This window comes from Homo sapiens, chromosome 7, assembly GCF_000001405.40.
Source record: "Homo sapiens chromosome 7, GRCh38.p14 Primary Assembly".
In the NCBI taxonomy this organism is placed as follows: Eukaryota; Metazoa; Chordata; class Mammalia; order Primates; family Hominidae; genus Homo; species Homo sapiens.
In genome coordinates this window covers 4,429,184-4,453,607 of record NC_000007.14, presented here as the reverse complement: position 1 = coordinate 4,453,607, position 24,424 = coordinate 4,429,184, and the positions used below count along the sequence as shown (strand labels likewise).

At 41.3% G+C, this 24,424-nt stretch overlaps 1 long non-coding RNA gene across 1 annotated transcript in view; it reads right to left on the bottom strand.

The window, feature by feature from the left end:
* The window catches only part of LOC124901579 (uncharacterized), a 41,965-nt gene extending 22,835 nt beyond the window's left edge, over positions 1-19,130 (bottom strand). The window contains exon 1 of the long non-coding RNA XR_007060198.1: positions 19,086-19,130. This is a non-coding gene — a long non-coding RNA (uncharacterized LOC124901579). The remainder of the gene's footprint in view (positions 1-19,085) is intronic.
* Between the last annotated feature and the right edge of the window lie 5,294 nt (positions 19,131-24,424).

Below are 24,424 nucleotides of genomic sequence, written 5' to 3'. Positions count from 1 at the left end.
CTATCTATCTACCTACCTACCTACCTACCTACCTACCTACCTACCTCTATGGCATAAGGTCAGAGCTGATGAGATCTCTCTCTCTCTCTCTTTTCCCTCTATGTACCTGCCTATCATATCTATCTATCTATCTATCTATCTATCTATCTATCTATCATCTATCATTTATCTATGTCTATTGCATAAGGTCAGGGCTATTGAGATCTCTCTCTCTCTCTCTCCATATCTATCTATGTATCTATCTATGGCATAAGATCAGGGCTCTTGAGTTCTCTCTCTCTCTATGTACCTGTCTGTCTATCTCTCTCTCTCTGGCATAAGGTCAGAGCCACTGAGATCTCTCTCTCTCTCCATGTAGCTGTTTATCTATCTATCTATCTATCTATCTATCTATCTATCTATCTATCTATCTTCTATCTATATCTATCTATCTATCTCTATGTATCTATGTATGCATATATGTATCTATATGTATGTATGTATGTATTTGTCTATCTGTATGTATTTATGTATGTATGTATGTATCTATCTATCTATCTGTCTGTCTATCTATGGAATAACGTCAGGGTTGTTGAGACCTTTCTCTCCCTCTCTCTCTGCATATATATGGTACTGTCAGAGAGGACTGGAGGGGCATAGGTGAGAAGGAGGTTGTAGGTGAGAGGCAAAGCTCAAGCAGAGAGAGAGAGGTAAAAATGAAAAAAAAAACAAAAAAACCCAGCCATGACTGAGGACAATGGTGATGTCTCAGTCGGTCCGTGTTAGGTGTATGGATCCGTGCCAATTGTCACAGCTTTGGGAGGAACTGCTTCTTGTAGAATTAAAATCCTTTGAAATGCAGTTTCTTGGGCACCTTGAAAAGCAGAGAACATAAGTGGCTATCATGAAATGCAATCTAGTTAGAATAAATTGTCCAGGAATGAAGGTGAATTAGCTGCAGAGACGCCGACTGGTAGGGCCTGCCCGATTTGGTGACTGCCATCTGCTCTATTATCAGGTGATAATTATTCGAAATGACCTCTCAGCCCATCTCTAGGCTAGTACAGAAGAGTGACGATATTCCCCAATCGAGTTAAAAAACCGTTTTGTGTCTGAATTCCGTTTGAATGAAGGGAACTCAGAATTGACAGGGGGTAGATGGAGACAGCTGGAGGCCTGGGTGAGGCTGGGGGCTTAGGAGCTGACTGTTCTCAGGGAAACTTTCACTGCAACATCTCCTAGAGGCGAGGACTTCGATAAATGGCGAAAAGGAATGAAGAATCCATGCAGGTGTCACAAAAGAGAGAAGGAAGAAAGCCAAGGCCTCCCTTGTCACCGTCGCTATCCATTTCTGCCCCTGTGAGCAAGATCCCATTGTCTTCTGCAAACATCACCTCCCCTCTGGGGCCCACATTCCTTATCTTTCCTAATTGTGAACATTATCCAAGGAGTAATCTTGAATGTGAGTACTTTTGATAATCTTCTTTTCCTTGAAGACCTCTGGTGTTTTTAAGACAGTTTGTTTTCCTTGAGACAGGGTCTTGCTCTGTTGCCCAGGCTGGAGTGCAGTGGTGTGATCTCAGCTCACTGCAACCTCCGCCTCCCAGGCTCAAACGATCCTCCTGCCTCAGCCTCACAAGTAGCTGGGACTACAGGCTCGCAGCCACCACGCCCAGTTAATTTTTGTATTTTTAGTAGAGACGAGGTTTCACCATGTTGACCAGGCTGGTCTCCATCTCCTGAGCTCAAATGATCCGTCTGCCTTGGCCTCTCAAAGTGCTGGGATTACAGGCATGGTGAGCCACTGCACCCAGCCAGAGAGAACTGTTTTTTTTTGTTTGTTTTTTTTTTTTTTTTTTTTTTTGAGACAAGGTCTTGCCCTGTCGCTCAGGCTGGAGTGCAGTGGTGCAATCTCTGCTCACTGCAGCCTCTGCCTCCTGGGTTCAAGCAATTCTCTCACCTCAGCCTCCAGAGTAGCTGGGACTACAGGTGTGCACCACCATGCCCAACTAATTTTTTGTAGAAACGGGGTTTCACCATGTTGGCCAGGCTGGTCTCGAACTCCTGGCCTCAAGTGATCTTCCTGCCTCAGCCCTCCAAAGTGCTGGGATTACAGAGCCACCACACCCAGCCTTCATACTTCACCTACTGCATGTTGAAGCCTTGGAAGTCTACAGCTCCCGTAGTGAACTCAGTTCCCGTCCTGGATCTCCACCCATTTGCAAGGCATTTCTGCTTAGGGCCCCTTCCCTTGTCTCAAACTCAAAATGTCCCAAACAATGGAGGTCAGCCGCCCAGCCCATTTATTATTTTTATCTATTTCCGTCAAGGGTACCACTATTCTCAGTCATGGGGCTTTGAGATTCCTCTTCTCCTATCTGTTGACTTGTGCATTCAAACATCCAGGAACATAACTTTTATTTTTAAAATCTTCCTTGAGGCCAGGCACGGTGGATCACATCTGCAATCCCAGCACTTTGGGAGGCTGAGGCAGGAGGATCACTTGAGCCCTGGAGTTTGAGACCAGCATGGGCAACTTAGCAGGACTCCAACCCTACTAAAAATAAAATAATTAGCCAGTGTGGTGGTGCGTACCTGTGGTCACAGCTATTCTGAAGGCCAAGGCAGGAGGATCGCTTGATCCCAGAGATGGAGGCTGCAGTGAGCTATGATTGCACCACTGCACTCCAGCCTGGGTGACAGACAGAGACTCTGTCTCAAAAATAAAAAATAAAAAATAAAATTCTATCTTGAGTTTATCTTTTCCTTAAAAAAACCTTTTTTATTAGGGTACAAGATAGACACCCACTGAAATGTACCAGAGAAAGTGTACGTCGTGTGTGCATGTGTGTGTGTAACTCTTACCCCACTAAAAAATTTACAACATCCCCATGATCCCAAAAGTAAGCCTCCCTTGGCTTCTAGCCTGTCAATATCTGACCCTAGAGGGAGCTGTACTAAGGTGGTTCACATCAACACAGATCAGTTCTCCTGTCTCACATTTTACATGAATGAAACCTCACACTGCACTATTTTGTGTCTGGTCAACAGAATATTGACTTATAAGATTCATGCATGATACTGCTTGTAGCATTCTTTTTTATTGCTCTATAATATTCCATTGTCTAATATGTGATAGTTGATGTATCCATTCAGTTTTTTTTTTTTTTTTTGAGACAGTATCTCACTTTGTCATCCAGGCTGGAGTGCAGTGGCACGATCTTGGCACACTGCAACCTCCGCCTCCTGGGTTCAAGCGATTCTCCTGCCTCAGCCTCCCAAGCAGCTGGGATTACAGGTGCTCGCCACCATGCCCAGCTAATTTTTGTATTTTTAGTAGAGACAGGGTTTCACCATGTTGGCCAGGCAGGTCTCGAACTCCTGACCTCAAGTGATCCGCCCGCCTCGGCCTCCCAAAGTGCTGGGATTACAGGCATAAGCCACCATGCCCAGCCTCCATTTAGTTATTAATGGACATTTGGGTTGTTTTAGGTTTGGGGCTGCTATGAATAAAGTTGGTCTGAACATCATAGTTTGTGCTTTTGGCAGGCAAATGCACTTATTTCTCTAGTAACAGAGTTGCTGGGTAGGTATATGCCTCATTTGTACTGGGGGGATTTTAATTTGTGAGGGAATGTCCTAGAGAAGGCAATGCCATTGAAAGAAGTATTTATTATTTACATTCCCAAGAGAAGGAGGCACGCTGTGGCACGCCATGCCACACCCCTGCACCACGTCATGCCATGCTGCACCACGCCACACCATGCCACGCAGGGTCCCACAGGGAGCACCAGATTTGGTCAGGGGGCAGCAGCAGGAGCAGGGGGAAGGCCTGGGTCAGTCTTTTATTTACCTGTTCATTGACTTATTTATTTTTTGAGACAGAGTCTCGTTTTGTCACCAGGCTGGAGTGCAGTGGGACGATCACAGCTCACTGCAGCCACTACTTCCCTGGGCTCAGGTGATCCTCCCACTTCAGCCTCCCAGGTAACTGGGACGACAGGCAGGCTAATTACCATGCCCGGCTAGTTTTTGTATTTTTTTTTGTAGAGATGGGGTTTCGCCATGTTGCCCAGGCTGCTTTCACACTCGTGACCTCAAGCGATCTTCCTGCCTTGGCCCCCTCAAAGTGCTGGGATTGCAGGACTGAGCCACTGGGCCCGCGTAGGTCATAGTCTTGATTGGGGTTTCTGAGGGAGGGACTAGGTAGGTCAGAGTCCACAGTTCAGGACTGGCTATTTGAATAATCCTGGCGGGTTCCGTGCTCTAGGGGTGGTCGCTAGTTGCCTGGTACCTGGTCCTGGGGTGATTTAGGGCAGGAGAAACAGTGGCTTGGTGTGTGGGTGTTAGATAAAGGAGGGAGTCAGCTTGGGTAGGAGAGGCATGTCTGTAGCTCAGTTGTTCTCCATCTTTAGGAGTCAGCTAGCTCTTGGGAAGGGCAGTCTCTCCCTGGCCAGCAAGATTTTCAAGATGTAAACATGATAAGACACAGAAAATTCAAAACACGATGAGGATGGAAGGCATCAGGATTCCTGTTTTTCTTTCCATGTGGATGTCTAAAGACTCCAGCGTCATTTATTGCAAAGACCCTTCTGTCCGTTTGGAATGGCCGTGGTGCCATTGTTAATGAAGTGACGGTCTGTGTGTGGGTCTGAGTCAGGACTCTCGGCTCAGCCTCCCTGGTCTCTCTGTCTTTGTGTCAATAGCGTGCTGAGATCCTTGCCATAGCTTCAGTGAAAGTCTATATTCAGATCTTACTTTATCCAGCCAACCTCATCTCCCACAATTCTGCAAAATAAACTCTCTAGTTTAGTGAGGCCAGCTTTTTAAATGTTTTCCTATTTGCCTTTTTGTTTTCATGTTTAGAAATCAAAACAAGCTGGGCTCAGTGGCTCATGCCTGTAATCCCAGCACTTTGGGAGGCCGAGGCAGGAGGATCACGAGGTCAGGAGATTGAGACCATCCTGGCTAACAAGGTGAAACCCCCATCTCTACTAAAAATACAAAAAAAAAAAAAATTAGCTGGGTGTGGTGGCGGGTGCCTGTAGTCCCAGCTACTTGGGAGGCTGAGGCAGGAGAATGGAGTGCACCCGGGAGGCGGAGCTTGCAGTGAGCTGAGATCGCGCCACTACACTCCAGCCTGGGTGACAGAGCGAGACTCTGTGTCTCAAAAAAAAAAAAAAAAAAAAAAAAAGAAACCAAAACAAAAAATGGCTTGAGTGCAAATATTAAACGACTGAACACTGTTGTGCTCTGGTTGGGGCTGAAGTGAGAGATGGGGGTGCCGAAGCTGACCCCCTTGGCTCCCCTCTGGCCTCATGTCCATCATTCATTCACTCAGTCGTGTCCATTCCATTTGTATTTATTGAGTGCATACTATGTGCCAGGCCCCCTGTGCAAAGCAACAGGAAAACAGCAGTCTCCTTAAAGCTTCCAGCTTAAAGGGGGAGCCCTGTAAAAAGGTGTTGTAAACCGCAAACAAATCATATATTAAAATCATATATGGTAATTAGTAAGTCATAATTGCAGATTGTGAACAGGGCTATGAGGAAAACACAATGCAGAGAAAGAGAGCAATGAGAGTGAAACTCCTTATGTAAGTGTTCTGGGATGGCTTCACAAGCCAAGGCCTGGAGGCTGAGAAGGAGCCGGCCTTGCAAAAGAAAAGCTTGCTCTCAGCTGGGAAGTCCATGCACCTGCAAAAGTCTCAAGGCAGGTCCCCAGTGGATGTATTCCAAAAACTAAAGACAGGAGCCCACACAGCTGCAGTGATAAGGCTTAAATAGTGGATTCATCTAGAACTGATTTCTTCAGAGGTTGTAAGTTCTCGGAACATAAGGACTGGGTCCAGTGACTTTTTTTTTTTCTCAAATAATTTGCTATAGCAAGAAGAGCACAGTGTGATGATTATGAAGTATTTGTGGAACGGAGTTATCAACACGTTGTCAGAAACTAGAGGTGCATGACCGGAAAGGCTGGTAAGCCCACTTGTGCCTTTTTCCACTGGTGAATTATTTTTCTTGTTTCGATCTTGGAAAAAGAACAAAATCAAGTGAATAGCTTTCCAGGAGCATGCCCTGAACTTTACAGTTTATATTTCAAGATTTAACATCACTCATTCGTAACTTCTTTGTTCGTGTATGAGGTCATGGTGCTCTTCATTACCTTTTAGGTACATTGAAGAAAGTAAATGAGTAAGTAAGTAACAATGATAACGTCTTCTGAACCTGGGTGGGTAATAATGAAATACTGGCTGTTATTGGGCCATATGTTTGGCTGCAAACCGCTGTTTTTATCATTAACTCATTCAATAATGGGAGATGTAAAGAAAGCACTGGGAAGAGATGTCATATAATTAACGACACCATGGGCCAAGGTGGCGAATCAATGGACATGCTCACCGTATATAAAGTAGCCAGAGATGATCAGATGATCATCTGTACCATTGGGACTGTGGACTCCAGAGCATCTACACTTGCTCCCATCACTGCTCCATCCTTCTTGGCAATGTGACCATGACTCAGTTTCTTCATTCATAATGGGAAGCTTTTACTATTACCCACCTTATAGGATATGTGGTGGACATTATATGATATAATGGGGACTGTGGGCTGAACCTGATCTGCCATTTGTTCCTGTACAGCCTGTGAGCTAAGAGTGGCTTTTTTTTTTTTTTTTTTTTTTGAGATGGTGTCTTGCTCTGTCACCCAGGCTGGAGTGCAATGGCATGATCTCGCCTCACAGCAACCTCCACCTTCCAGGTTCAAGAGATTCTCCTGCCTCAGCCTCCTCAGTAGCTGGGATTACAGGTGCGTGCGACTATGCCCGGCCAATTTTTGTATTTTTGGTAGAGACCAGCTTTCACCATGTTGGTCAGGCTGGTCTCGAACTCCTGACCTCATGACCCGCCCTCCTCGGCCTCCCAAATAAGAGTGGTTTTTTACATTTTTAAATGCTTGGGGGGAAAATAAGAGAAGGATAATATTTTGTGACATGTGTAAATTAGATGAAATTCAATTTCGCCGTCCATGAAAAAGGTTTCATTGGGACATCCACGCTCATTCATTTCCATGTTGTCAATGGCTGCCTTTGCGCGACGGTGGTAGGGTTGGGCACCTGCCACAGGGATCACGTGGCTGGCAAAAGTTGGCTGAACTCTGGGATAATGCCCAGAAAGAGCTTATCACAACAACTGGTCGTATGTCAGCTATGAAAATAATGTATTAACAAAAATGTACATAATCCTTTGGGTTAAGAAAGTAAATTGGTTTCTTTCCCCCCATCCTTTGTCCTCCCTTTAAGATCTTTTTATTCTCATTACAGTTATTCTTTGGGGGAGAGAGGAATATCCCAAGAGGTAGCTGAGATTGAATTTTCGTCACCTTGAAAAGAGGGCACTGGGAGTCAGCTTTTTATGATTTAGAAAAATAAATCAAGGTGATGTTTCTTGCACCTGTGCATTCTAGAACAAACCTGGTGTTTGTGTATGTATGTATGTATGTGCATGTATGTGTGCACGCACATGTATGTGTGTATGTGTGTGCATGTATGTGTGTGCACATGTATGTATGTGTGCATGCATATGTATGTGTGCATATACATGTGTATGTGTGTGCATGTATGTGTGTATGCATGCATATGTATGTGCATATGTGTGCACATATGTGTGTGCATATGTATGTGTGCACATGTGTGTATATGTATGTGCAGAGGTATGTGTATGTGTGTGTGCATGTGTGTGCGTGTGTGCAGATGTATGTGTGTACATATGTGTGTATGTGTGCATATGTGTGTCTGCATGTCTCTATGTTTTGTGTTTGTGTATGTATGTGTGTCTGTGTCCACATGGCTCACTCCCATGAACAACCATAATTCTTCCTCCCCTTCTTCTAGTCCTATCAGCTGGGCTTGGAAGTTACTTATTTTCTCCTGCTTGAAATAGATGTTTTTTATTTGACTCCTCAAACATCGGTTTCTCTCCTCCTACCTCGCTGGCCTCTCCTCAGCAACTCCTTCTGGTTCCTCCTCACTTTCTCAGATTTCAGTGTTGCTGCGCCCCAGGGCTGAGCCTCTGGGGCCCCCTCTCCTGTGTCTGGGTTCCCCACATCATCTCATCTCCTGGCTTGCAGCTGGAAACAGCATCCTCATGCTGGTGCCTCTCAGCTTACGTCTCTCGGCTGGATTTTTCTCCTGAGCCCCAGATGCTGACATTCGACCAACTCTACCTGGATATATCTCAACACTCTCCTGTCCAAAGTGAACTCCTGGTCTTCTCTCCACAGACCCGTTCCTCTCTCAGCCTTTCCTACATCTGTAAATGCCAGCTCCATCTTTCTCATGCCCTCTCTTTTCCTCATAACCCATGTCCAATTTGACTTAAATTCCATTGGTTCCACCTTCAGAAAACTTGAAAAGTCTGGCCTTATTTTACCGTTTCCTCCACTACCACCACGGTGGAAGCTATACTCGCTTCTCACTCAGATGATGTCAGTGGTCTCCTCACCGGTCTCCTAGCCCCACCTCTCAATCATCTATTCCGAAAACAGCAGCCAGATAAATCCTTCTATAACACAATTCAGATGACATCACTCTTGTATTCAAAACTCTGCAGTGATTCCCCTTCTCATTGAGAATAAAGGCTAAAGGTCTTACTTGCTTGCAACCCAAAATAATTGAAATGATTAGAACACAGTTTAAAGTAGTTTACTCAAGTGAAAAGCTGAGACTTGCCATTCAGGTGATGCAGACTCCAAAGGAATGGGGTCAGCGCTCTGACATTAAAAGCTAAGGTCTTGCTTATATTGGCAGAAAACAAAGAAATTTAGTAAGACTATAACGCTTCCCATACAAGGCTGTCTTACAAGTTACCACGTAGTTACATTTTATTTTATTTTCCATACAGCTTCTTTTCTTTTCTTTATAGCTTGTTTTAATTTCATTTCCAATTTCAAACAGTATATTTAACATTCCATCTTAGGTACTGTAAGAGTCATGGAGTCTTCATGTCAGAGAGGAAAGAGGAAAATTAATCTACAATGAAGATCAACAATTAAGAGGGAAGGGGTCCTCCCTGGTGATCCCCCCCGCCCCCCCACTTTTTTTTTTTTTTTACAAAACAATGTAGGTAAGGAAAAAAAGGCTAATCTATAACCAGAGAAAGAAAGGTTACAGCTGCAGCTGTCTAGGTTATAGCTGCCTGTTTATGTGACTCAGGTCCCATGATCACATTTCCTTAAGGCTCAAAGTGTTTTACAGTTCTAGCAGCTTAATTTTGAACTACATATTTTCACATTATGATGCCACGTAATCTGGTTCTGGTTTTCTTTCTGGCCCTGTCTCCCAGCTCTTCCCCTTGCCCCTGCCATGCTGGCCACCTTACTGTTCCTTGAAATACCAGGCAGGTTTCCACTTTGAAGCTCTCTCTTCCTGGAAGTCTCTTCCTCTAGAAAGCTGCAGTTTCTTCTGTCATTACTTTCATGATTCAGCTTAAATGTCACCTTACTCAGGAGGCTTTCCTCTATAAAATAACAAGATTCTCTGTTCCCACCATTCTAGCTCTTTAACTCTCTTATCCTGCCTCACTTTTCTCCACGGCACTTATCAGACAGAAAATATTTATCACTAGCCTTCTCTCATTAGCCCCATCAAGCAGGGGCATTGTCTGTTTTGTTTATCTTGTTTCTCCAATGTCTAAAACAGAAGTTGGCTCATAGCAGGTGCTCAATGAGTATTTGTTGAATGAGTGAATGATACTAAAGAAATCCAAATAAATCCATATTTACTAGAAATATAGTTTGACTCCTCCAGCTAATAGACATTGTCAGAATGAATACAAAACCAAAATCCAACTATGTGTTATCTATTAAAATACATACATGTATTTTAATAGATACATGTATCTATGTATGTATCTATGTATGTATCTATGTATGTATTATGTACGTATGTATAATACATGTATGTATTATGTATGTATGTTATAATACATGTATGTATTTTTACATGTAACGACACATGCACCATCACATACATGTAACGACACATAAACGTATCATCACATACATGTAACGACACGTACACGTATCATCACATACATGTAATGACACGTACACGTATCATCACATACATGTAATGACACGTACACGTATCATCACATACATGTAATGACATGTACACGTATCATTACATACATGTAATGACAAAGTTTGAGAGTAAAAGGATAAAAAATTATAACAGTGGTGTTGCTATATTAATATTGGATAAAATAGATTTTAGTGGAGGGATAAAAAATGTTGGTGAAGGGGTGCTAAAATACATTTAGAAGGAATAAATTTTAGATTTTACAGTACAGTAGGGAAATAATAAAGAATGATAATTTATAGTATACTTCAGAAGCTAGAAGAGAAGGTTCGTAATGTTCCCAACCCAAAGAAAAGACATGTTTCAGGTGATGAATGTCCCAATTATCCTGATTTGATCATTACACATTGTATACAGATACCAAAATATAACACCCCAACATATCTACACCTATTATATATCAATTAAAAATTTTTAAAATAAAATAAAATAGGCTTTAAGACAAAAATCCAAAGAGAATTACTATATTATGATAAAATTTCTTCTCTTGAAATGAATGTCAATTATAAATTTGTATGCACCTAATAATCCAACTTCAAAAATCTACAGAGCAAAGATTAAGAAATCTACAACTAATAATGGACACATCCATCAAAAAAATAGGAGTTTTTAACTTACCTCTCAAGCAGACAAGAGAAAATCAGTAGGATATAAAAAGAACATAATTAACAATCTTGTTATAATAAACATATACAGAATGCTTTGTACAAATCTGGACTTAAAAAAATTCCAGCATGTATCCCAATGTTTCAGTTAAGGCAGTGGTTTACTACCCTACCAGATCCCTTTTGACAGCAAATATTCTGTAATTTTAAAAAAGTTATCTTAAGATGAATTTGATATATATCCAAAGCAAGTTTCATTTTTCTTCCCTCAATAATATAATCAATAAATGTAATCCAGCATATAAACAGAACCAAAGACAAAAACCACATGATTATCTCAATAGATGCAGAAAAGGCCTTTGACAAAATTCAACAACCCTTCATGCTAAAAACTTTCAATAAATTCGGCATTGATGGGACGTATCTCAAAATAATAAGAGCTATCCATGACAAACCCACAGCCAATATCATACTGAATGGGCAAAAACTGGAAGCATTCCCTTTGAAAACAGGCACAAGACAGGGATGCCCTCTCTCACCACTCCTATTCAACATAGTGTTGGAAGTTCTGGCCAGGGCAATTAGGCAGGAGAAGGAAATAAAGGGTATTCAATTAGGAAAAGAGGAAGTCAAATTGTCCCTGTTTGCAGACGACATGATTGTACACCTAGAAAACCCCATTGTCTCAGCCCAAAATCTCCTTAAGCTGATAAGCAACTTCAGCAAAGTCTCAGGATACAAAATCAATGTACAAAAATCACAAGCATTCTTATACACCAATAACAGACAAACAGAGAGCCAAATCATGAGTGAACTCCCATTCACAATTGCTTCAAAGAGAATAAAATACCTAGGAATCCACCTTACAAGGGATGTGAAGGACCACTTCAAGGAGAACTACAAACCACTGCTCAATGAAATAAAAGAGGATACAAACAAATGGAAGAACATTCCATGCTCATGGGTAGGAAGAATCAATATCGTGAAAATGGCCATACTGCCCAAGGTAATTTATAGATTCAATGCCATCCCCATCAAGCTACCAATGACTTTCTTCACAGAATTGGAAAAAACTACTTTAAAGTTCATGTGGAACCAAAAAAGAGCCCACATCACCAAGTCAATCCTAAGCCAAAAGAACAAAGCTGGAGGCATCACACTACCTGACTTTGAACTATACTACAAGGCTACAGTAACCAAAACAGCATGGTACTGGTACCAAAACAGAGATATAGATCAATGGAACAGAACGGAGCCCTCAGAAATAACGCCGCATACCTACAACTATCTGACCTTTGACAAACCTGAGAAAAACAAGCAATGGGGAAAGGATTCCCTATTTAATAAATGGTGCTGGGAAAACTGGCTAGCCATATGTAGAAAGCTGAAACTGGATCCCTTCCTTACACCTTATACAAAAATCAATTCAAGATGGATTAAAGACCTAAACGTTAGACCTAAAACCATAAAAACCCTAGAAGATAACCTAGGCATTACCATTCAGTACACAGGCATGGGCAAGGACTTCGTGTCTAAAACACCAAAAACAATGGCAACAAAAGCCAAAATTGACAAATGGGATCTAATTAAACTAAAGAGCTTCTGCACAGCAAAAGAAACTACCATCAGAGTGAACAGGCAACCTACACAATGGGAGAAAATTTTTGCAACCTACTCATCTGACAAAGGGCTAATATCCAGAATCTACAATGAACTCAAACAAATTTACAAGAAAAAAACAAACAACCCCATCAAAAAGTGGGCAAAGGACATGAACAGAAACTTCTCAAAAGAAGACATTTATGCAGCCAAAAAACACATGAAAAAATGCTCACCATCACTGGCCATCAGAGAAATGCAAATCAAAACCACAATGAGATATCATCTCACACCAGTTAGAATGGCAATCATTAAAAAGTCAGGAAACAACAGGTGCTGGAGAGGATATGGAGAAATAGGAACACTTTTACACTGTTGGTGGGACTGTAAACTAGTTCAACCATTGTGGAAGTCAGTGTGGCGCTTCCTCAGGGATCTAGGACTAGAAATACCATTTGACCCAGCCATCCCATTACTGGGTATATACCCAAAGGACTATAAATCATGCTGCTATAAAGACACATGCACACATATGTTTATTGTGGCACTATTCACAATAGCAAAGACTTGGAACCAACCCAAATGTCCAACAATGATAGACTGGATTAAGAAAATGTGGCACATATACACCATGGAATACTATGCAGCCATAAAAAATGATGAGTTCATGGCCTTTGTAGGGACATGGATGAAATTGGAAATCATCATTCTCAGTAAACTATCGCAAGAACAAAAAACCAAACACCGCATATTCTCACTCATAGGTGGGAATTGAACAATGAGAACACATGGACACAGGAAGGGGAACATCACACTCTGGGGACTGTTTTGGGTTGCAGCGGGGAGGGATAGCATTGGGAGATATACCTAATGCTAGATGACGAGTTAGTGGGTGCAGCGCACCAGCATGGCACATGTATACATATGTAACTAACCTGCACATTGTGCACATGTACCCTAAAACTTAAAGTATAATAATAATTAAAAAAAAATCAATTTAAAGCCCTTACTATGATACAACAGAGAAGTAAAGGGAAACAAATTAAGATAAAATAAATATTGGAATGTGTAAATGCTCAGGTGGGCCTATTCTAGAAGATAAAGGAAGAAGTCAGATGCATCTATGTGTAGAACTACGCTTGTGACAGATACAAATGCAAACGAATAGAGACGTATTGTATTGGCAACTCTATTTATTATGATTAGCATTGCCACTGGTGATATGGTTTTTCCGAAAAGGTTAAACAGAAAACCTCCTGGTAAAATTCCAAAAAATAGTAGCACAATCGTCCCACTGAATTTACCTTCCTGGAAATTCAAGTGTATTAAAACCACGCAAACATACTTTGTGTTTACACATAAATCTGAGTTTCATCTAAGTGTAGATAATTATGAAGAGGTTTTTCATCTTCTTATCATGTCAATGTCGGTGAGAACATTACAAAGTCATGAGAAATTTGCAGAAATCTCTTGTCCACTGCGGAGCACCTAGTGTCTCTGAGCCCACCTACTAAGTGCCTCCAATCTTGTGACAAGAAGTGTTTCCAGCAATTTTCAAAATGCTGCCTGGGATAAGGACTGTCCCTACAGAGAACCACTGAGCTGGGTCATCCCTCTTGAGACCTGTCTAACGGGAAAACAGCGGATCAGCCTAGAACTCCACGTTCTTGGAAGAAATGCACCATATCAGCTGCCTGAATGATGGCCCAGCTGCCTAGTCTTTCAGAATTCCTAAGCAGCATCTTGTCTAAAACATAAGCTGGATTTCTATTGACGGAAACTTCTTTCTATGCCCCTCAAAGCTGTACCAAATGTTAAGGTACAAATCACGTTGTGAATGATTATTAGCCAAATAAAGGGTAAGAATCATACCAGAGAAAAGTTAGTTAGCTTGAGAAAAAGCTATAGATATATATAGATAATTGTGAATAGGTTTTTCATCTTAACTTATTAATGTCAATGGAACATTACAAAACTGTGGAGGATTTGCAAAAGTGTCTTGTCCAATGCAGGACATCTAGCATCTCTGAGCCCATCTACTAAGTGCCCCCGGTCAAGTAACACATGCTCTCTATGTATCTGTGTATATATCTATCCTATCTATCTATCTATCTATCTATCTATCATCTATCTAATCTATCTATCTACCTATTATCTATCATCTATCTAATCTACCTATTATCTATCATCTATTTAATCTACCTATTATCTATCATTTATCTATCACCTATCTTTCTATCTAATCTGTATATCATCTATCTAAACTATCATCTATCTAATCTATCTATCATCTGTCTAATCTATGCTTCATCTTTTTATCTAATCTATATATCATCTATCAAATCTATCTATCTAATCTAGCTCCCTATCATCTATCTATCTATCTAATCTATCTATCATCTGTCTATCATTTATCTTATCTATCTATCCATCATCTGTCTACCTACTATTTATAATCTATTTATCTATCAATCAATAAATCACCTATCTAATGTATCTATCTATCTATCTATCTATCTATCTATCTATCATCTCTCTATAGCTTTACTCTTGCAAACATGGACTTAAATATAAACGTAGATTACAAATAATTTTTATCTCTTTGTAAACAGAGTTCAGTGAGGCCTCTCTGTCAATGGTTGATTTCTAAATGTATATCAGGTTAATAAAACTACATTACTTCCCAAATGTCTCAAAATGACACTTCCCACTGCTTTAGGACCTGACTTTCTTTCTAATCAGTCCAGAGGATTGAGTTTCTGCTGCCTGGTCCATGGAATCTGGGACTTTATCTTCAAATGACCTTCCAGATCTGGGAGGTGTCATGTTGTGAGGTGCAAATACGGTTGGTTTTGGTATTTTTGCAAAAACTTTCTCTTCTTGGGTTTTTCTTTATTTGTGGGAATGTTACTTGGCCATCTGGGACTTTTCAAAGGTGAATATCTCCGGGCTGTGTTCCTCTGACACTCTTTGAACTATTATGGCTTATTAAAAAGTTACCGCTTAAAAGTTTCTATTCCTTTTCCTAAAACATCTGTTTTCAATAACTCAGGCTTCCTTCGGAAATTTGAAATTCTATGATTTTAGGCTTTCCAAAAATAGGTTCGCTGCAGCTGCCTTTCAGACTCATGGCAGCCTTCTTCAGGATGTAGGCTTATTTCAAAGAAACAATCTTCACACTGCTTTGGTCATTTCTGCCCTTTGAATGGATATTTTCTTAATGTATATTCTCGTTGGGGTCATGGCACAGATGGAAAAATTCCTTTATGATTACAAAGCATTCCCAGCCAGCCAAACATAGTTAATAGATGCTCATGGCTACATACTTCTATAGGTTACTATTTCTAATATAGAGAAATCCTTGTCCTCATTTCACATAGCTCGCAATTCAGAGGAAAATGAAGGATACAGATGGACTTTATCCTAAAGACTAAATTATAGTGTTGGGGTGCAGGATGTTGAAATGGAAGCTTTTCTGGCTCAGAGTCTTGTCAGGATAGGTAGACCGTGTCTAGTGGTTCTGCCAGCATCAGCCCACTGTCTTCCAGGAGGCCACCAAAAAGAAGGTGGAGAATCTATTGTGTGGGTTGTGGAAATTGGAAAGGGAGGGTTTCTTTGGGGTGCAAGTGTACTGGTGTGCCTTTGAGAGAAACTGCCATGAGCCTGGTGGCGTTTGAGGGACCTAGGAGTGGGTGTCAGACTCCTTCCTGGGAACAGTAAAGGTGTGGGGCACCCCTGGTGGCAGGGCATGAAGAAAGAGGGCTGCAGGCACCTGCTCCTCCCACAGTGGCAATGGGGGATCCAACATGGGGTAGGGACAGGGGTAGAGGAAGGACCAGATGTAGATTCAAGGCAGTGAGCTATTGGGAAAGTGACTTCCAACATACAAAGGTGTCCTTGCAGACAAAGTGACTCAGCAGATGGGTGGTGGACTGCAAGAAAGCCATGGTTGTTGAAATGAGTCCGATAAAGAAGGCACTACTTATATCAAGGGAGATGTAGTTGGAGCTTCCAGCAGGGTAATATATAGGGGAGCCTTAGAGATACACCTTAGAGTTTCTGCAACAACCAGAGTGCTCCAGCCCAGAGCACCACTGTACCAGCCATACAGCATCCTTCCCATGGTACCTGGCTCTAGGAGCCGATGACAACAGCTAGGAATGTGGAAGGAGGCTGAATCAAAGGACCTTCTCCCTCCCACGGGAGGTTCCTAATCCTAAAGCCAGCCCAAGCCAGTGCAGGAGAGTTTCAGGTTTAATACAATCAGAGAATTCTAGTATTAGAGTGTTTTAATCCCTGAAAGAGACACAATTTTTGTACACATTTTTTGGAAGCAACCCAAACATCTATGTGATCTGTCTGAAGCTTCATTAACGGCTAAGAAAAACTAGCTAAGAAAGTGAGTTTGAAAAGTCCATAGCCAGAAAGAAAGAGGGGGCTTTCTGTTTGCTACCCAGAGACCAGCTCCTTTGATAAATCTTACATGGGTTTTTCAGGGAAGCTTAAACCAAGTTAATAATTCACTTTCCTAATGCAAGAGTCATCATCTCTTCTAGGCTCTAGATGAGAACTCACGGCTTATCTCAACCCCTCAAATATTTACCTTAGGCAGCAAATCCAGTATCACCACCACGTAAGTCTAATAACATCCAGACTTCAAGGAATATACAAGAACAATATTCAAGGGAAGATTAGGGTGGGAAGGTGAACGCTGGGGTCAATGTCTCTAGGAGTGTCAGAGATTCTTCAAAATCTTTGAAACTGCAGGCAAAAATGGTAAGCGCCATGTAATTTCTTTTTTTCTGGGTTCGGGGGGGGGGGGAATGTAACCTTCCTCATTTTCTCAAAAGTGTCTGTGACTGAAAAATAGTCAAGAACCCCTGAGTTAGACCTTGGTTCCCTGATGAACTACTTGAGATAAAAGGAATAAGCGCTCTATCTAAGCATCCAGGTGAATGGCTCGAGTACTCTAGGAACAGGTGGAGAGAAGGAGTTGTGCGTGAAGGACTGTCTGTAAGGCTCAGCACCTGATTAGAAAATGGGAGGTGTGAGATTTGCATCTGGTTGAAAAAAAGTAAGAAAGAAAGAAAAGAAAATGGGAGGAACCACCAGGATTGGGCAGAGGAAATAAACTGAATCTCCAAATAGGCTCAGCAACACCCTGGGGGCCTTGGAGTGAACATCTCCATGACAGCACCCCTCCCTGGGCTGAGATGGTTGTGAAACCATCCCTACCATCTTTATAAAATTAATCATGAGAGAAGGGGCGAGAAATAAAAATAAACCAAACTTGTGGCACATCCAGCATCCATCATGCAGTCTGCTTTCTTTCTGACCTGCTTTCTCATGGCTGTTTGGTGCTTATTGTTTTAGAATCATGTGGACCCTGTTACAAGATTACAGCTCTCCACACCTGCTCTGCAGACAACAGCTTGAACCTTATGAAACATGAAGTTTTCTCTTTGAGATATTCCTTCAGGTCTTGCATACTCATGAAAGTAATGACTTGTTTGATCTGAAAGACCCTGCTGATGCCAGCTGGTCTGAAGGAACCCACAGGAGCTGACTTACCAAAGAATGCGGTTTTCACCTTCTGATGATTTCATTCCCCTGACCCCACCAATGAACAGCCCCTCATCCTCCATGATCCTCTTAAAAACCCCAGAATTCCTCAGAGAGATGGATTTGGAGGTCTCCTTCCATCTCCCTGCTTGGGGTCCTGCCATCGCTAAACTGTCTGTCCTGCAAATTCTGCTGTCTCAGTGCATTGGTCTGTTACTCTGCAGGGGGCACAGGAACCTGTTGGTTCCGTAACAGCAGAGCCTGCCTTTTCAGCCCTTCCTTGCTCAGCCACCAGATGTAGGCCACCCAGGAAGTCGTGACCTTGGGCAGGGTGGCTCTCTGCCACTGAGGCTCACCTTCAGGAGCTGGTGGCTGAAGGCACACACGGTCACATTCCCCCTAGTTGGGCAGCAAAGCCTTCCTTGAATGAGAGTCCTTTCCACAGCTCCATGTCCACCACAACTGTGTTCTCCCTTCCAGAATTACTCTAACAAAGTCCTCCAAGAACATCTGTTTCCCTTCCATGGTTTGTTTTCTTTGCCCAAAGAATCAGGGGGCCATGTTTAGCTTAGGTTCAAAGGACCCTTCTCCCTCCCACTGGAGGTTCGTAATCCTAATGCCAGCCCAAGCCAGTGGAGGAGAGTCTTAAGTTTAATAAAATCAGGGGGTTTTAGTATTAGAGTGTTTTAATCCCCGAAAGAGATACTATTTACTTATATTTTTTGGAAGACATAAAATAACCTACGTGATCTGCCTGAAATTTCATTAAGGGCTAAGAAAAACTAGCCAAGAAAATGGGTTTGAAGAGTCCATAGCCAAAAAGAAAGATGGAGCTTTGTGTTTGCTGCCCAAGACCAGCTCCTTTGATAAATCTTACATGGGTTTTTCAGGAAGTACAAAAAAGCTTAAGCCAAATTAAAAATTCATTTTCCTAATGCGAGAGTCACCCAACTCTTCCAGGCTCTAGATGAGAACTTACGGCTTATCTCAACCCCTCAAGCTGTAGGTATGGCTTTAACTTGACTCAAATGTGCTATTTCAGAAGACGCTCCAACTTTTAAAGAAAACCAAGTCTAAAGTTCAACTCAGGACCTTTCTCACGAATCATGCACAATTGTAATTTTTAGAACTAAAATCGCAACTTCTGAAAATAAAAGAATTTGAAAAGCAACAAACCGATAAACAGAGAGGCATCCTCACCTTCTTCGTGCACCTTCTGGCCTTGCTGCCGGCGCAGCGGGCTCTGACCGTGCTGTGCTTCTGCGATTCAGGTCTTCACCTGATCTCAACAGCTCACCAGCTGGCCCTTCTCTCCCCAATTAGAGATTTTACCTTCACAAACAGCGTCCTTCCTAGGACCACGCTCAGACCACCCAGAAGAACGCTTGCCTTTTGCCTTTTCAACTTCTGTGCCCTTAGCTCCAGTTTAATTCCTCGCCAAGTGTCAGAAACAGGAAGGGGAAAAAAAGGGGTCAGCTGTCAGGGCAGCTTTGCGCTGGGAGCATTACACTCTCACGGCTGTTTTCCCCAATTAGAATGTTTTCTGGACGGTTTGCTTGTGAACTAGGGCATAACCTGTTCAGCTTTCTCCTTTTGGAAAAGCCCACTGATTCTCTCTGTGCCTGAAGTGAAGTGTTAAAAAAAATTCCCTATTGTATATATTCAACTTTTGATACAGCTCTGGAAAAATTGAGCATATACTAAGAATACAGAATGTGATGACATTAGTTCCCTAAGCATATTTGTGATTAAGTAGCTTATAACATCGAAGGATCAACCAATAGACGGCTAAGATAGAAATTAACATGGTCCTTGATTTTAAAAAAAGGTTTAAATTCATTTAAAAGAAAAAAAATACAAAACTGAAGACTGGACGTTTCCAGTTTTCCTTCCTGGAGATTTAATTGAGCCATCTGAAACTCATTTGAGAAACTGATCTTTAAAAAAAAAAAAAAAAAGGCTTTGTGATAAAGTTTAAATTTTGCTCAAGTACTGCTGATGCTTATTCTGCTGTCTCTCCAACAAGAAATGCCCCTGCTCTAGAGGAGAGAGGATCACAGGCAACAACTTAGAACCTGGGGTTTGTGGCCTCGTGTGGTGGCTCACTTCTTAAGCCCAGCACTTTGGGAGGCTGAGGTGGGAGGATTGCTTGAGGCCAGGAGTTTGAGGCCAGCTTGGGCAACATAGTGAGACTTTGTCTCTACTTTAAAAAAAAAGAGAAAAAAAAAAAAAGGCTGGGCACGGTGGCTCACGCCTGTAATCCCAGCACTTTGGGAGGCTGAGGCGGGTGGATCACCTGAGGTGAGGAGTTCGAGACCAGCCTGACCAATATGGAAAAACCCTGTTTCTACTAAAAATACAAAAATTAGCTGGGCGTGGTGGTGCATGCCTGTAATCCCAGCTACTGGGGAGGCTGAGGCAGGAGAATCGCTTGAACCCAGGAGGCAGAGGTTGCAGTGAGCCAAGATCATGCCATTGCACACCAGCTTGGGCAACAAGAGTGAAACTCCGTCTCAAAAGAAAAAAAAAAAAAAGGAAGAAAGAAAGAAAAACGGGGTTTGTGGACTCTATAACCAACTTCTGAGTCAACATGGGGCTACTTGGCTACATACATTCTCTCTTCATGGAACTTATGGTGGTGATCACAGGTCCAGCCCTCCTTCAAACAGAGCTCATGAAAATGGACAGTACCCTTGCCAAGTGACTTGTATGTATTCACATTTAAGACTGAGTTCTTTTTTTTTTTCTTTAAAATTTCAAGGTAATAAATATATCCATCTTGTTCAAAAGCTTCTTTGTGTCCCTTTGTGGTCTGTGTGTTAAGAATGCTTAACATGAGATCTACCCTCTTAACAATTTATTAATTTTTTGGTTTATTTTGAGATGGTTTCACTCTGTCACCCAGGCTGGAGTGCAGTGGTGCGATCACAGCTCACTGCAGCCTCAACCTCCCAGGCTTAAGCAATCCTCCTGTTTCAGCCTCCACCTACCTGATTTCAATTCTTTTTTTTTTTTTTGAGATGGAGTCTCACTCTGTCACCCAGGCTGGAATGCAATGGTATATGGTCTTGGCTCACTGCAACCTCCGCCTTCCGGGTTTAAGCAACTCTTCCACCTCAGCCTCCCAAGTAGCTGGGACTATAGGTGCGTACCACCACACCTGGCTAATTTTTGTATTTTTAGTAGACATGGGGTTTCACTGTGTTGGCCAGGCTGGTCTTGAATTCCTGACCTCATGATCCACCCACCTTGGCCTCCCAAAGTGCTGGGATTATAGGCATGAGCCATCACACCCGGCCTATCCTGATTTCAATTCTTTTGGATATATAGTAATTCCTGTTTATCTGCTGGGGTTACATCCCAAGACCCCCAGTGGCTGCTTGCAACCATGGATAGTACCTAACTCAATTGCTGTCCATCCAAATGCAACTTCCGTTCATGTCTTCTACCCGTAAAGTTAAATGCTTTTCTGTCTAAACGAGGCACTCATCACACACTGTGGCCATAAAACTTTTGTAGTCTGAGAGGCGACAGCAAAACGAGCACACTTTTTTCCCTCTTCTTCACAATTTCATAGACGAAAGACTTGTTCTTACTGTAAATCTTAACAGCTTCAACATACATTTTTTTTCTTTCCTTATTAAGTTGAGAACTTTCACTTCTTGACTTAAAGGAAGCACTTTATGGCTTCTCTTTGACATATCAAAGTTGCCAGCATCTCTGTTCTTGCACTTTGGGGACAATATTAAGTAAAAGAAGGGCTTCTTGAACACAAATACTACGATACTGCAACAGTCAGATCTGATAACTGTGACTCAGTGGGCAGGCAGTTTGTACAGGGCGGATCCACAGTGTGCATCAGTCACGTCCTGAAAGGGACAGAGTGGGGCAGCTCAAGATTTCATCACGCTACTCAGGACAGTGCACAATTTACAATTTATGAATGGTTTCTTTCTGGAATTTTCCATTTTATATTTTCAGACTACCATTGACCATAGGTAACTGAAACTGCAGAAAACAAAACCATGGATAAAAGTTACTGCTGGATACCCAGAAGTGGGATTGCTGAATCATATGGTTGTTCTATTTTAATTTTTTTTTGAGGAAGCTTCATATTGTTTGCCATAGCAGCAGCATCAATTTCCAGTCCCCACCAATGATGTACAAGGGTTTCTATTCTTCAAACCTCACCACTTATCATCTTTTGCTTTTTTGATAATAGTCATCCTAACAGGTGTGAGATGATATCTAACTGCAGTTTTGATTTTCATTTCCCTGATGATTAGGGACGTTCAGTATCTTCTCACGTACTTGTAGGCCATTTCCATGTCCTCTCTGGGGAAATGTCTGTTCAGCTCACTTACCCATTTATAAATTGGGTTATATATAATGTGTATGTATGTCTATTAGTCCATTTTCATGCTGCTGATAAAGACATACCCAAGACTGGGCCATGTACAGAAGAAAGAGGTTTAATTGGATTTATAGTTTCACCTGGCTGGAGAGGCCTCACAATCACGTCGGAAGGCAGGGAAGAGCAAGTCACATCTTACGTGAATGGTGGCAGGAAAAAAAAGAGTTGTGCAGGGAAACTCTGCCTTATAAAGCCATCAGATCTCATGAGACTTATTCACTATCATGAGAACAGTGCAGGAAATTCCCACCCCAATAATTCGATCACCTCCCACTGGGTCCCTCCCACAACACATGGGAATTCAAGATGAGATTTGGGTGGGGACGCAGCCAAAGCATATCAGTATGTATACGTTCACTTACATACTTATTTGCTGTTGAGTTGGGGAAGCTCCTTATATATTTTGGAAATTATCCCCTTATTAAGTGTATGGTTTGCAAGTGTTTTCTCTCATTCCATAGGTTACCATTTTACTCTGCTGATTATTTCCTTAGCTGTACAGCAGCTTTTCAGTTTGATGTAGTCCCACTTGCTTATTTTTCCTTTTGTTGACTTGTTTTTGGTGTCATGTGCAAGAATGTCAAGAAGTTTTCTCCTATGTTTTCTTCTAGGAGTTTTATGGTTTCAGATCTTACTTATCTTACTTTTAAATCTTTAATCCATTTTGAGTTATTTTTTCTGTATTGTGTAAGACAAAGATCCAGTTTTATTCTTTTGGGTGTAGTCATCCAGTTTTCTCAACACTATTGAAGAGACTGCCCTTTCCCCATCGCTTATTCTTGGCACTCTTGTCAAAAATCAGTTGGCTATAGCTGTGTGGATTTATTTCTGGGCCCTTAATTATGTTCCCTTGGTCTATATATCTATTTTTATGCCTGTACCATACTGTTTTGATTACTGTAGCTTTGTAATATATTTTGAAATCTGGAAGTGTGATACCCCCAGCTTTGTTCTTCTTATTCAAAATTGCTTTGGCTATTTGGAGTCTTTTCTGGTTCCATATGAATTTTAGGATTGCTTTTTCTATTTCTGTAAATAATGCCATTGAGATTTTGATAGGATTGCATTGAATCTGTAGATTGCTATGGGTAGTACAGATATTTTAACAATGTTAATTATTCTAATTCATAAACATGGGATGTCATTTCATTTATTTGTGTCTGCTCTATTTTCTTTCATCAATATTTTATAGTTCTATAGTTTAATATTCTTTCATCAATATTTTATAACTCTTTCCTTTTTGGTGAAATTTATTTAAATTTGTTTCCAAGTATTTTATTCTTTTTGGTGCTATTGTAAGTGAGATTGTTTACATAATTTACTTTTCACATAGTTCATTGTTGGTATGTAGAAATACAACTGATAGCATTTGATTTTGTATGTTGGTTTGTATTATTATCATATCCTCCAACTTTACTGAATGCATTTATTTGTTCTAACAAGATGTTTTTCCTGTAGAGTTTGTAGGGTTTCCTACATATTAAATCATGTCATCTGAAAAAAAAGATAATTTTACTTCTTCCTTTTGGATTGGATATCTTTTATTTCTTTTTCTTGCCTAATTGTTGTGGCTAGGACTTTCAGTACTATATTGAGTAGAAGTGGTGAGAATGGGTATCCTTGTCTAAAAGTGAGTTCTTATTGGTAAAACTCAGAACCATTTATTTAGAACATACTTATAGGGCCTCATTTTGAATTTTATACCATGTGAGTTGCATATATTGTGTAAGACAAACTCTATCTTCAAGGACTTTGTATGTTAGTAGGGAAGATAAGTCACGCCCACAAATAACAATTATACAAAATGATATGGAACAATTGTTATGAAAGAGCTATAAATGCTTTGGAAGTTTGAGAAGTCAGAGATAACATCTAGATATATACCCATCATTTATGTATACAGAGGCATTTCTTACATAATTACACTAAGGGGCACATTATCAATAGGATGGTATCTAATTAGAAAACAGAAATGTGGGTTGGCCTGTATATTTCCTGCAGCATATTTCTTCAGTAATCCCTTATTAATATATCAAGAATCTGTGTTTTCTACATGATCATCAAGTAAATATTCTACAATTTTGAAAAAAATCACTAACTGGTAAAATGCTTAAGCTGAGTTGTA